This window comes from Homo sapiens, chromosome 6 (assembly GCF_000001405.40).
Source record: "Homo sapiens chromosome 6, GRCh38.p14 Primary Assembly".
Classification (NCBI taxonomy): Eukaryota; Metazoa; Chordata; class Mammalia; order Primates; family Hominidae; genus Homo; species Homo sapiens.
The window spans coordinates 19,835,844-19,850,805 of NC_000006.12; the positions used below are offsets into that span (position 1 = coordinate 19,835,844).

At 43.0% G+C, this 14,962-nt stretch overlaps 1 protein-coding gene across 1 annotated transcript; it reads left to right on the forward strand.

Annotated features, from left to right (window-relative positions):
- Nucleotides 1–1,526: 1,526 nt before the first annotated feature.
- On the forward strand, nt 1,527–6,354 carry ID4 (inhibitor of DNA binding 4). Its single transcript, NM_001546.4, has 3 exons — nt 1,527–2,352; nt 2,741–2,799; nt 3,367–6,354. Exons 1-2 carry the CDS (start codon nt 1,912–1,914, stop codon nt 2,783–2,785), a joined length of 486 nt encoding a protein of 161 aa, NP_001537.1. The 5' UTR covers nt 1,527–1,911; the 3' UTR covers nt 2,786–2,799; nt 3,367–6,354.
- Nucleotides 6,355–14,962: the final 8,608 nt, after the last annotated feature.

Here is a 14,962-nt window from a genome sequence, read left to right on the forward strand (position 1 = left end):
AATATCTGCCTGGTGCAGGTATTTCAGTTCTGGGAATGGATGTAGAAAAAGTCCATATAGGGGTAGACAGGAAGAAATGAGGTCCATGTCTCTTTCTTTCAATTATCTATGAAAATGAAGACACCAATCCATGTCATGTACACGAATGAAGAAAATTCTTGGGTTAATTCATCTCCAAGCGTGTCTAAAGGTGGGAGGGTTTGTAGAGTGAAGGCACTCAAAATTCATTTCCCCATTGTCTGAGAATTTTTATGCACCTTTCTCATCTGAAGGGCTCAATTTTTTCTTGAAGGGTACACACAATGCTCCACCAAAGCTCATTGTGCAATTTTATTTTGAACCCTTGAAGGACAGCTTTTCTCTAAGAAATCTAACACAAAAACGCCCTTAATTAACAGGCTTTTTTTTGCAGGGTGGGGCCCAAGCGGGATCCCAGAGACTGGAAGTGTGAATTTTAATGCTTTGCTGTCAAAGGAGGCGACTCTGGACATTCTCATCACCTTATTTAAAGCGGGGTACGCTGACTAATACGTGAAGCTGTGCATTAATGGCCTAAATTAAGTTACAGGTATGAATTTTACATAAAACAGATTAATATTATATGTCATAATGGAATTTTAAATATTCCGTGTCCATGCATTTTTAATCTTTACGTGCTCTAATTGAATGCGCAAGGCAACTGCATTTCTTGAGCCCACTTTTGCATTTAGATGGGGTAAAAGAACCCCCCCCACGTTTTTGTTTTATTTATATTCCCTTCACCAAAAACCTGCATTCGATTCGGCATTCTTTTCCTTCTTTTTTTTTCTACTTTTGCTAAGCTTTAGCATTTTTTAAAAAGAAAACGGAAAGGCTACACATTCCATTCCATCATTATGGTTTCGGCAAATGTGAAAAGGCGAATAATGAAACGGAGGAGGGAAATATAGAACAGAATGAACGTGCCTTCTTGAACAGCGCGTCTTTCTTAAGGCACTGGAATCCCACGGATGGAGTGATGGGTGGCGGAGGGTCCCTGGGCGCCGTGCTATTAGGAGTGGCAGGGTATCCGCGAGCAGGGCCCAGGCGCTCCCTCAGCAGCCTAGTCGGGATAAGGGGGGCGGTGGAGAGTGAATTCCGGCCGCACATTCCCGCAGTTCTTCGCAGGAACTTCGCTCTCTCTTTTCCCCTCCCTTGGGCACACATCAGCCTGGCCCGACTCCCACTCAGCTCTCTTTTCTCAGAACCCCGACCCACAGCGTTGACGGAATGGAGTGCCCTTCCCATTGGCCCGAGCGTCATTCCCCGAGGTGGCACTGCCCGCCTGATTGGCTGGCCACTCCAGACCCCCCGCCCACTCCTCCACTCGGGTAGCCGGACTCCCCGCCCCCCAGCACCGCCCGGAGCCCCCGCCCTCGCCTCTCCCTCCGCGCCCCCGCCCGCGCGCCCAGCGGGCTCCGCTCGGCTCGCGCTGCGACCCGGCCCGCGCGCTGGTCCCGCCCCCGGGGCGCACGGCTCTATAAATACAGCTGCGCGGCGGGCCGGGCGAGAGCGTAGTGGAGGAGGCGCGGTTGTGAGTAGTACCGGGAGTGGGGTGATCCCGGGCTAGGGGAGCGCGGCGGCCGCGATCGGGCTTAGTCGGAGCTCCGAAGGGAGTGACTAGGACACCCGGGTGGGCTACTTTTCTTCCGGTGCTTTTGCTTTTTTTTTCCTTTGGGCTCGGGCTGAGTGTCGCCCACTGAGCAAAGATTCCCTCGTAAAACCCAGAGCGACCCTCCCGTCAATTGTTGGGCTCGGGAGTGTCGCGGTGCCCCGAGCGCGCCGGGCGCGGAGGCAAAGGGAGCGGAGCCGGCCGCGGACGGGGCCCGGAGCTTGCCTGCCTCCCTCGCTCGCCCCAGCGGGTTCGCTCGCGTAGAGCGCAGGGCGCGCGCGATGAAGGCGGTGAGCCCGGTGCGCCCCTCGGGCCGCAAGGCGCCGTCGGGCTGCGGCGGCGGGGAGCTGGCGCTGCGCTGCCTGGCCGAGCACGGCCACAGCCTGGGTGGCTCCGCAGCCGCGGCGGCGGCGGCGGCGGCAGCGCGCTGTAAGGCGGCCGAGGCGGCGGCCGACGAGCCGGCGCTGTGCCTGCAGTGCGATATGAACGACTGCTATAGCCGCCTGCGGAGGCTGGTGCCCACCATCCCGCCCAACAAGAAAGTCAGCAAAGTGGAGATCCTGCAGCACGTTATCGACTACATCCTGGACCTGCAGCTGGCGCTGGAGACGCACCCGGCCCTGCTGAGGCAGCCACCACCGCCCGCGCCGCCACACCACCCGGCCGGGACCTGTCCAGCCGCGCCGCCGCGGACCCCGCTCACTGCGCTCAACACCGACCCGGTGAGAGGCCGGGCGCCGGCCGTGGGCGGACGCCGCGGGGGATGGGAGGTTGGTGGCGTGGTGGCGGGACGCGGGCGCTCACCGTCCTCCGGGCAGGGGCGGGCCAGGAATGACAGCCCCCTCCCCCTGCTCCTCCGGGCTCCCCCGGGCCGCCAGCAGCCGGCCGGGCTCGGCGAGCGCGGGTCCGGGAGAACGCGCAGGGCGGGACTCGGGGCTGTGGGCGCCCTGGGCTGTCAAGTCCCGCCTGAGCCCGGAGGGGCCCCCCCGGCTACAGGCTGGGGTGGGGGCGTCGGCGCGCCAGCCTGATTTCCGAGGACAATCCAGGACCGTGTCGAGCGCGTTGTTTGCGCCTGCTAACCTTTCCCTTGGTGTTCGGTTGCTGTTCCAGGCCGGCGCGGTGAACAAGCAGGGCGACAGCATTCTGTGCCGCTGAGCCGCGCTGTCCAGGTGAGCGCGCATTTCCCGTCTCGGGTGGCCGGTCACCAGAGACGCCCGTCCCCGAGGGCTTCCGGGGCCAGGCACCGCGGTGTTCTTTGCCCCCAGCGTTTCTGAGAGCAAACTCCCAAGGAAGTAAATCCCCTCTCTCCCTGCCACCTAAGTAGCAAGTAAACCCGTACTTAGCCTTAGAACTCGAGGTTCAGTCTCGGTGGAGACGGGTCAGCCCTTGTCCCCGCCGTCCCCGTGTTTTTTCTGGTGGTCAGCGGGCTCTTCTGCCTTCCCTAGTTCCCGAGGGAGGGCACCCTCGTGGGCATGGGAGCTGCCCCGGTGTCCTCCCGTGCAGTCTGTCACCCACAAAGGGGGACGCGGGCAGGGCGCCGGAGTGGGTCCCCTCTCCGGGCTTCCCGAGGGCCGCAGCTGCCTGCTCGGCGCCTGGCCCGGCCGCGGGCGGGTGTTGTCTGACCTGGTGGTTTGTTTTGGGTTGTTGATCAAGCATGTCTTGAGTTTGGTCGGTGGCGCCAGTTAGTCTGCAGCGAGAAGGTTCACACACCCCCTCTATTCATTCCTCTTCCACAGGTGTGCGGCCGCCTGAGCCCGAGCCAGGAGCACTAGAGAGGGAGGGGGAAGAGCAGAAGTTAGAGAAAAAAAGCCACCGGAGGAAAGGAAAAAACATCGGCCAACCTAGAAACGTTTTCATTCGTCATTCCAAGAGAGAGAGAGGAAAGAAAAATACAACTTTCATTCTTTCTTTGCACGTTCATAAACATTCTACATACGTATTCTCTTTTGTCTCTTCATTTATAACTGCTGTGAATTGTACATTTCTGTGTTTTTTGGAGGTGCAGTTAAACTTTTAAGCTTAAGTGTGACAGGACTGATAAATAGAAGATCAAGAGTAGATCCGACTTTAGAAGCCTACTTTGTGACCAAGGAGCTCAATTTTTGTTTTGAAGCTTTACTAATCTACCAGAGCATTGTAGATATTTTTTTTTTACATCTATTGTTTAAAATAGATGATTATAACGGGGCAGAGAACTTTCTTTTCTCTGCAAGAATGTTACATATTGTATAGATAAATGAGTGACATTTCATACCATGTATATATAGAGATGTTCTATAAGTGTGAGAAAGTATATGCTTTAATAGATACTGTAATTATAAGATATTTTTAATTAAATATTTTTTTGTAAATATTATGTGTGTGTTTTTTTTTAATCTATGGGAATATTTCTTTTGGAAAATCATTTTTCAGCTCAATTACAGAGCTCTTGATATCTTGAATGTCTTTTCTGTTTGGCCTGGCTCTTAATTTGCTTTTGTTTTGCCCAGTATAGACTCGGAAGTAACAGTTATAGCTAGTGGTCTTGCATGATTGCATGAGATGTTTAATCACAAATTAAACTTGTTCTGAGTCCATTCAAATGTGTTTTTTTAAATGTAGATTGAAATCTTTGTATTTGAAGCATACATGTTGAAAATACACCTTATCAGTTTTTAAGTACAGGGTTTTATAGTGTAATATATACAGAGTAAGTGTTTGTTTTTGTTTTTCAACTGAGGTCAAAATGGATTCTGAATGATTTTGCATATGGGATGAGGAAATGCTTGGATCCTTAAGGAGTTTACGAAATCTGCTGTTTTATCAAAGTGAAAAAAAATTGCTTATTACTCTTCATTTTACACTAAAGCTTAATGTCACTAAGTTTCATGTCTGTACAGATTATTTAAATCATGGAAATGAAAAAAATGTTCTCTGCTTGCTACCAAAGGACAAACTCTTGGAAATGAACACTTTCTGCTTTCCTTCCTCCAAAGAATTAATAGGCAACAGTGGGAGAAAAAAAAGGCATAATGGCAAATCCTTCAAGCAGGGATAAAAGTCGATCTTCAAACATTAACTTAAGCAGACCAAAAATTCTGATGACCGCATCTAGATTATTTTTTTATAAAAATGATTTTCACTATAGCTATGTTACGCTAAGCTACTGTCCAATCTCTTGTGATGTGTAACTTTTACATGTGAATATTAAAGTAGATTTCTCTGTCTTGTACTGTGATTTCTGGTCTCATTTCTTTAAAACCTTACTCTTATTTTTCTTTTAAGGCTCTTTTTTCTCCTTAAGGAAGGTAATATTTTCTAGGTTAGATAGGACTATCAGGGTTTGTGAACATTATGCATTTAATGTTATGGGTACTTTACACACAAGTTAGATGGAATTTTTAGAGTGAAAGAATTAAGTAGGATTTAATTGGGTGCTTTGTAAATAGTCAACTGTGTGTATAACGTGGTCTGTTTGATTTTTAAAAGGAAAGGATTTGTTTCAGATTATACAAGAATAAAAGTATTATAGACCCAAGGGACTTCTTATGAGGTCAAATTCAGATATTTATATGAATATGAAATACCATGGTCCCTAGTAGTCAGTTGAAGTGGCAATGTCTAAACAGAAATGAACAAAACTAATGCTAGCAGGTTAAAATCAATCAAAATGTTTAAAAATTGATTCTGTCCTCAGCATGTTATTTCCTCAGCTCTGATAATTTACTGGTCTTGAGTATTTTGAGAATTTGATGTTGAACGTTATAAAGTCAAAGAACTGCTTGTTTAGATGAGGTTTATTTTTATTTTTGATATTATTCATTCTTGTCACACATCAAGAAGAAAACACTAGAGTGCTGCTGGAATTCCAAATCTGAAGAATTCTAACGACTGCATTCTTTGTTATTAAAAAGGGCACAATCCTTCCTTTTTATTTGGCAGTTTAATTTCAGTAGGAAGCATGTCACATGTGCACTGTTGGTTAGAATTATGCATCTGTCATGCCTGACTGCTGAACCCTACCTAAGCCTTTTGGCGCAGTTTAAAACTTATACTGGTGGACTGTGAACCTCAAAACAAATGGGTATTTTTGGGTTTTGAGGATAGATGTTACTCCTTAAAGTTTGTATTTGGGGCATGAAAAACTACTGAAAGAAGAAAAGTGCTACAGATACTACATTTCAAAGAGTTGGCATTTTCCCTTTGGCCACTCAAGCAGCATTTGATGTATCTAAAGAAACAAAGTCATTGTTTATTTTTTAAAAAATTATATGCAGTTGTACAAGATACTACATTCCATTGAAATGTTGGCTATGTCCTAACCAGGCAACCAGATAACAAAAACATTTTGAGTCTTTTATCTAGGTAGTTCTAATTATTCAGCTACTTAGTTTAACAAAGGAAAATATCCTGACTTCTCTCATTTCATTTGTAGACTTTTCATTGTATAGGCACAACCAAAGAGTCAGACTGGTTTAAAACTCCAGAAGGAAAAAAAGTATCCCACACAGTGGATGTTGTTTCTAAGAATGCTACAAAATCCTGACATCTCAGACATCTCAATGTTAAAGGAAGAAAAAAAATACCTTTTCATTTCAAAGAACTAATATACTTTGATATTGTGTAAACCTTACTCAAGTTTATTGTCAAGCTTTAACTGCCTTTTTAGAACTTTTTAAAATTTCGAGCCCACAAATCTATTGTATTAGTTGCCTTCTATAACAATAAATCTTCACTGAGCAAAAGGCTCTGGAGTTTGTGGTTTTTAATTGACTTTTACTGAGTTATGCAATTTTTCATTATCCAGAATGGGTCTCTTGATGGATCACCTCAATTATTTACAGTGTTTCTTACCATGTTATGAAAAGTGGCGATATGAATGGAAAGAAAATCTAGTTTGAATGCTGGAGAAAGCTTCTCTACTCTAGTCCCTGCTTAGGATAGGAAGCAATATTCCTAAAGAAGGCAGCAGGATGACGTCCAGGGAAAACTAATTAAAAAAAAAAAGTTAAACAATGCAGACAATTTATTTCACAGTAGTACAGAGCCAAATGAAACTGGCTCTGCCTTTCTAGCTGGTGCACTTTAATTATATATATGTTAATCAGCCTAGATAGCCTTTGGGTCTCGACAGGGCCAAACACCAAACCCTGCAGGCTTATGAGGAAGGAAAACCTTCCCGTTTCTGCTTTGCAAGTCCAGGAAATTAATTTAACCCGTCTCAGAATGAATCTTAATAGGGCTGCCCTCAGTAGGTATTCTTCAGACCCAGATGATTTCTTTCAATTACAACCCAGGATATTTTGCTAAAATATTAGTTATATTAATTAGAACCATTGCCCAAAAGGTTTTAGGATTGTAACTTTACTTACAGTTCTACCTTGAGCACTGATTTGATCGATACTTTAAAAGATATAACCCTTACAAACGAGAACTAATTTGTTCAAGGGAGACAACCCGCAGTCATATATACTTAATTGAAAATGCTCTCAAATTTGCTATGAATTTGTAAAGTGTGTTTTGCATTCAAGTGCCTCCTTCATATTTATTCATATTCTGGCTCCTGCTAAAAAGTTTTGCCTAAGTGTTAAAACTTAGGTCTCAACCACATTGCCAAAGGTTTTCTATACTTACCAAAGCCAAAGTAAGGCCATGGTGAGGCTGCTGGAGTTCCATCATTCATAAGTCTTCACAGTAAATCCACACATGGGATATGAAAAGAGCTGTAAAAATTGAAGTAACTTGAAAAGCCCCTCTGAGTCCATAAGAGTAAACACTTCAGTTTCTGGGGAAAGAAGAACAAAATGCATTATCTGTATTCCACTGGCTAAGATATAACTGAAGAGGAATTGAACTTAAAATGTTTAAATAAAGAGACCCATGAAAAATTTTCTACATGAACCCATGAAATTTTTTTTAATAAGAAACCTCACACTTTAGATGAGAATTTTCTAAGAGATTACATTAATATTAGCACAATATGCAAATTCCTGGTGAAACAAGGCACTATTATTTGCCTTTAGTTACTGTTTCCCAATTCTTTATGATATAAAATACCTATCAGGACTTTGGGCAGGCATATACAAGTCACATTTTAAAATGCTATCTTTTATTTCAAAGTTTAATTTCCGAAGGAAAGTATTGTACTTGTAGAGTTCTTCATGCAAGTTCATAGACTGTTTCTTAAGTATTTATTTAAATATCCTCTTAAATATTTTAAATGTTTTTCAAATACTACTTCCTTCATAAGGTTTAGCAGTTAATTGAGTGATTGTAGTTAAGTATGAGTGTGTATGTCTAAAAATAGTTCACCGACATACAGAAAAATATCTTTCAAAAGGGATTTTTACTCTAAAAAGTAAGTAAACTTTTCTCTATTTTCTCTCCTTTTTTAGTTCCTAAGATTGGGAATTTCCATAAAGGTGTACCTTCCATTTTTTTTGGACTGCTATAACCAACCATATTATGTTTAAGCATAAGGCAGGACCGAAACTAAAGAACAGGTGAATCAACTGTCATGTATATATCATCTCCTAGAATCTGGTTTAACCTCATGATTAATTTCAGAGAGAGCGAGAGAGAAATAGGGAAGTTCTTATTTGTAGGTCAAACCTCAGAGAAAGCCAGGAAAACAGACATAAACTTATAGACCAAAATTTTACAACTTACCTAAGCAATAATTATTGGAAACACTTTTCATACAAGTTTAACCTGAGTCCACAGCTGTAGTTAAAACAAAGTAGGGTTCTTTGTTTGAGACTTTTCTTTGCCTGTCCTGCGGTGCCTAACAAAGTAACCTTGTAAAATATTTGTTACTAACTGAACTGAATGCCCCCTTAAGAGTCTCTTCCCAGAGTATTTAGTCACTCCTTCTTTGCCCTTTCATCTGCATTGAGTTGCAATTGAGCTTAAGACCAATATATCTAACTGCGTCTGGTCCTCTCCACCTCTGAAAAGCAGTAGATTCCAGATAGGACTGATGGTCTTCCCCAAAACTGCCCCTCTTTCTGAATTCCTTATCTCGGCTAATGCCACCTGTCATCACTCAAGTCAGAAATCTGGGATTGTGCTTGACTTTCTCCTGCCCCATCATATTCAACTGAGCACAACAATTCCTGCTAACATTCTCTCAGATCCTCCCCAGCATCCCAGCCTCACTGCTACTCTATCAGTATCTGTATCTCCATTTCACATCAGAACTCGCAGTCAGCTCCTATTCTAGTCTCCTTGCCTCACCTTTCTTTATCTTCTCTACCTTCCATGTGCTCTAACTGCATGACTCCTCAACAGTCACCCTCTGCCTATGCAGGCAAGTCCAGTTTCTTGGAGCAGCATGCAAGGCCTCCTCGTGACCTGGACCTATGGATCCTTCAAGAGCCATTCCCTCCTGGACCTACAGATCCTTCAAGAGTCATTCCCAGCTGTCCTCTGTCTCTTCCACTTCTGGCTGTCTTCAAGCACACATGTTATGCTAAGATCTTGCCCCCTATATGCTAGACAGCAAAGCATGCTTATTTTGTTAGTCTTAACAGTGTATGCTTGATTTCCTGAGAGTTAAGAAGGGAGCAACTTCAGGAAGGACACACGTGGACTGTAGAACAATGCAGTGAAGGAGGGGGCACCTGTCCAGACAGCCAAACCACCTAAGTCAGCCTTGCCCACCTGTGAGTAAGAGCTAAGCCATCTACATTCAAAATGGCATCCTCTTTCACTCTTTCTTTCTTTGCGCAGTGTGTTACCCCCTGCCTTGATCTCGGACCCTCGTTCCCACTCTTGGCTGTTGCTAAACTCCTACCCGACCATCATTCAAGACTCAACTGTTACCTCTTCAGCAAAAATTATTTGATGCCTCCCCTCCTCACCCCGGAAACAGCATCCACGCCCCCCCTGCTATATTATAATTATTTTCACATGTCTGTGTTTCTGGTAGATCCCTGACCCTCCAAAGATTCCAGACCACAAGTACTAGGAGAACATTCCTGTAACTCTTTATGCCAGCAAATCTAGCAAATTCTTTGCAGCTCAAAATTGCAGTGGAGAGATTTTTATTATCTTTAAAAGCCTTTGGCTGCCTTAAACATGGAAAACAGATAAGCTGCGTGTTCTTGAGAATGAAGGAGTGTGGTCAGCCTAGGGCAAAGAGAGTTTAAAGGAGAGACTGAGAAGGGGGGAAGAGAGGCAGAGAAGATCCTGTATCCCCAGAAAAAAATTAAAAATAAAAGAAACAGTACTGACCCATGTTGGAATAAGGAAACAAAGACACGTCAGTGCCTGAGATGAAAATGTGGGGTAAGGGGAGATGACTCCCACTGACGTAGGTTGTGATGGGTCTGAGCAAGCAAGGGACTTGGTAAAAATTGTACAGTTAAGTCTCTGCGTGTGTTTCTTTACTCTCGTGAATTGGTGAAGTGACGTGGGATGGATCAGTTACAATTCATGCAATGAATCCTCATGAGTCAGTCTTGAAAGGGCAAGCTTGCTGCCTGAATGGGAAAGCCTTTCACAGATAGAAGTTTTCATTACCCCTACCATGATCTGAGGCCCTAGAGTGGAATCATATAATTAGAAACCTGGAGGCCGGGCACGGTGGTGGCTCATGCCTATAATCCCAGCACTTGGGAGGCCGAGGCAGGTAGATCACTTGAGGTCAGGAGTTCGAGAACAGCCTGGCCAATATGGCGAAACACCGTCTCTACTAAACATACAAAAATTAGCCGGGCTTGGTGGTGGGCACCTGTAATCCTAGCTCCTAGGGAGGCTGAGCCAGGAGAATTGCTTGAACCCAGGAAGTGGAGGTTGCAGTGAGCTGAGATTGCACCACTCCACTCCAGCCTGGGTGACAGAGCAAGACTCCATCTCAAAAGAAAAAAAAAAAAAGAAAAAAAGAAAGAAACATGGAATATGTCTAACAACATTCCTCTCATTTTTCAGGGAAGGAGACAGAAGCTGAAAAGGTGAAGTGATAAGAGTCAGATCTAGAACCTAGTTTCCCCATCTCTAAGCCAAGGCCACAAAGTTCAGTGTGGATGGATTCTATTTTAGTTTACTCTTCAGTGGTTTATCTTGTTCCCTATCCTAATCTACAACTTGCCTCATGTTCTTTCCTAAGAAGTGGGGTTCAAATCTTAAGCAAATAATTATTAAATGCTGGACTGATCTGGCTGCCTTTTAAAACAGAGAGCAGAGATAAAGTACTTTAATTACAAGGATCAAGAATTGCAAAGCTCTTGGACAAATGAGCAAAGGCAATTCAATGGAGAAAGGATGGTCTTTTCAACAAATGATGCTGGAAAAATTGGACGTCCACAATTAACTTAGGCACAGACCTTAAACCTCTTACAAAAGTTATCTCAAAATGGATCATAGACCATTACATTTTAAACATAAAGTGCAAAACTGAAAATTCTAGAAGAAAACACGGCAGAAAAATCGATGCGATCTTGGATTTGGTGATGAATCTTTAGATATAATACAACATCAAAAGCACATTCTACGAAAGAATTTCAACCTGTGTTGTCCTCCACAATTATATCCACGTGTGTGCACAGACCTACCCTTCAGTCTATGGGAACAGTGTAGAGTGGGGAAAGGGCAGAGACTGTCCGGCCAAGCCAAAAGACTTGGGTTCTAGTCAGAGGCCTGCACCTCGTTAGCTGTGTCCCCTCAGGCAAGTCACTTTTCCAGATTCCAATTTTCTCATAGGTAAAATGAGTATATAATAATTCTAACCTAGCTCAGGTGGTTCTTAAAAGAGAAAAAGAAAGTAACATACATGAAAATATTTACAAGACAATGGTTATAATTTTGGTATATATAAAAATCATCTGGGCCAGGTGCGGTGGTTCATACCTGTAATTCCAGCACTTTGGGGGGCCGAGGTGGGTGGATCACCTGAGGTCGGGAGTTTGAGACCAGCCTGACCAACATGGAGAAACCCCATCTCTACTAAAAATACAAAATTAGCCGGGCGTGGTGGCGCATGACTGTAATCCCAGCTACTCAGGAGGCTGAGGCAGGAGAATTGCTTGAACCCGGGAGGCAGAGGTTGCGGTGAGCCAAGATCACGCCACTGCACTCCAGCCTGGGCAACAAGAGCGAAACTCCATCTCAAAAAAAAAAAAAAAATCTGAAGAGATGACTTTCTGAATTCCACTAATCCAGGTACCCCCCACCACTGAGATTCTGATTCATCAGGTGTGGGGTATGACACAGAAGTCTGCATTTGAGCTTTCACCTGGTGAATGAGGCAAGTCTCCCAGGAACCATTGAGAAACAGTATTGTAAGCTCCAAAATGGTATGTAGGTGTAAGCTATTATTGTTATGCCACACACGGTGTGTTTCTCCTACTCTTCGACACCAATTTCTAATTTTCCAGGAGCTCTTATCGAGTAAAGAGAAAAGGTTAATATAATATCAACAGAAGTGGCAATAACAGCTCATGGGAAGAGGAAGTTGGTAACAGGAGATGCCCAAGAGGGAGCTGCTGCATACATGAGACCTTGGAGTGGGATCCTGGGACAGGTCTAGGGTCAAGATGTTGAGTCCTTCATACCCTTGATCTTCATTCCAATCTAGCTATGTGTCAAAACATTTATAATAACCCACTTTGTTCTCACACGCAATCATTGTTTTCTAAGCAAAAACCTAAAAGAAAGAATTTTTTTCACCCTCTTATATGTCCTTCCAAATCATTACCTTCTCTCTTTACCTCTATGTGATGTTTGGAGAAGCTAGTAGGCCTATATAGGTAGCCATGAGCAGCATTGCTTTAATGGTAAAGAGATTCTTCTGGAAAAACAAATTTAGAAAAAAAAATTTCATTTCCCCTAGTGTAGTATATCATCCTAAGGGATTGCCTACAACATGATGTAGAAAAAGAGGCTAAATGGTCTTATCTCAACTGCTGCATTTGCCTTAGAACTATCCTAATACATGGCTATCTAACACAAAAATACTAAATCCATGTAAAATTGGGATATGCTGTAATATAATAATACCTTAATTTCATATATTAGATTCCTTCTTCATAGAATTGTATACAATTTTCATGAATTAAAAAACAATGAAGAATAACTTCAATTCTTCCAAAATTGAATAAGATCTTTTATAAAGGAAAAATCAGAAAGTTTGCAGAATTAGATTCTGAGCTCTAACACTTACTGTGTGGCCTCAGGCAAGTTACTTAACCTCTCTGAGCCGTTCTAAAACTTTCTCTTATAATGATGACACAGTACTACTCAGCCCTGAGAGTCTCCCCTAACACAGTGTCAGGCACATGAGCTATTCAGTATTTGTAAGTTCCTCCCCTCTAATCATTTCTATCTGTATTCATCCTGCTGCTTCAAGGAGGTAGGTTTTCAGCAAGTCGCATGCTTGCTGAATAGGGACAGGAATGATTAGCATGTGCCTGCCCTCTTCCAGTATGAAAACAGGGTTAAGAAGAATAGAGGAGCAGGGTGTGTGTGTGTTCACTCCATATGGAGGACAAAGATTTCAAAAATGCACAAACATTTCAGGGAGAAGAGATTTTTAAGCCTTCCCAGTGCAGAAGCTATTTTCTGTTTCATTTATTTCTCTTCAGAATAAACCTGAAGTTCTGTGCGCACCGAAGACATAAATGACATAAATGTTGATGGAAGGAGAAGGATTTGAGGAAGGACGAGAGTCTGAGGAACAAGAAAGGACTGCAGTAGTGAAACAGCAGAAGAAACGAGGTGACGGCCTCCAGGAAATTAAAAGGGGGCCTTATATCTGTTGATTTTGCTGTTAACACGGTCAGATGGGATACTTGTTTGCTTTTTGATCCATTTTCTGATAGTTAACTAAGTGCTGTAGGACTGACATAAATGCTGAGGATGGGACAGAGGGAGGAACTCTACACATGAACTCCCATATTCAGGGCCAAGTCATCGGGCTACCCTAATAATAGTCTCCTGGTAGAAAACAATTCTGAAAACGAAAGACATAATAACAGAGTGGTACACAGTATGCCATGTGGTATTTAAGAGACAGACTAAGGTTGAAAACAACATAAAATTTATGTATTTCTTCATGACTTAGAAAAATGTACCTTTTATAATTTATGTTTAACATAATTTCTAGTGGCTATGCTTCCCTATAAACTAAAGCTGAGATTAATTCAACAGGATGGAGACACCAGTATTTGGGAGTTCATTATGTTCTTTGCAATAATTCAATGAATCAGAAAATAATAGAATTTTGAAATAAAATCCAATTCCCTCATTTTACCGAAAATGAAACTGAGGCTGTGACGCTTTAAAATATGCCTTTTGAGGCTGGGCATGGTGGCTCACTCCTATAATCCCAGCACTCTGAGAGGCCTAGGTGGGAGGAGCATGTGAGCCCAAGAGTTCCAGACTGTCCTGAACAACATAGCACAACCTTGTCTCTATAAAGAAAATTTAAAAAAATAACCGGGCATGGTGGCATGCGTCTATAGTTTCAGCTACTCAAAAAGCTAAGGTGGGAGGATCACTTGAGCCCAGGAGCTCAAGGCTGCAGTGAGCCATGATCGCGCCACTGCACTCCAGCCTGGGTGATGGAACAAGACACTGTCTCTACAAAAAAATAAAAATAAAATAAAATGTGTCCTTCATAAGATGACCTAACTTAGGGGCAGAGCTGCCAGCAAAATTTCAGGGCTTCCAACTCACAGTCAAGGAGACTTTATTGAGTTCAGTACATAGTAGAATCATTTATATTATCAGAGCATTTCTTTTTTTCAGTATTTATCTTAGGAGTTGTTTCTTTTAAAAATTCCTATTTGTTCTGATGCATATATTTCTTTTTTTTTACAGATCATTTTTCTCTTATAAAAATTCTGTAAACACAGCCATTCTTTCTGTATTTGTAATTTGAGGACCGACTGGAGTTATTCCTGAGAGGGCTATGTTCCTGAGAGAACAAAATTATTGTTTTTGAAACTCTAGAGAGAACTGCTCTGGCAAAAGAAATGTATCTTTTCATCTACAGTCATTCTGAGGTGAAAGATCTCATGATCACTCTGGACTATACAACCCACAAGCAGACTTCAAGGATACCTACAGGAACCCCAGAAGTCCTGATTGATCACACAGGCCCTAAAGACCCTATCAACTTGTTTATCAACTTGCAATTCTAATTTCCTGAGAGTAAAACACCAGTAAAAAATAATCTCCTCCCTCAATATTCTAGAGAATGCAAAGAAATACACAGTCACTGTAGACCTGTGAGCTTTTGCCAAGTTTGGTTTTCATTATTATACATATGAAGAGAATCATCTTCGCCAAAATCTATAAAGGGGCTGATTAACTCAGCTCTGTAGTAATTGTTTCATATTAAATCAGTCCAAA

Excerpts from the sequence above, each read along its gene's own strand:
- ID4 (NM_001546.4), top strand. The coding sequence starts at position 1,912 with ATGAAGGCGGTGAGCCCGGTGCGCCCCTCGGGCCGCAAGGCGCCGTCG. Across the intron at positions 2,353-2,740 it reads CTGCGCTCAACACCGACCCG|GCCGGCGCGGTGAACAAGCA; the intron begins GTGAGAGGCCGG and ends TTGCTGTTCCAG.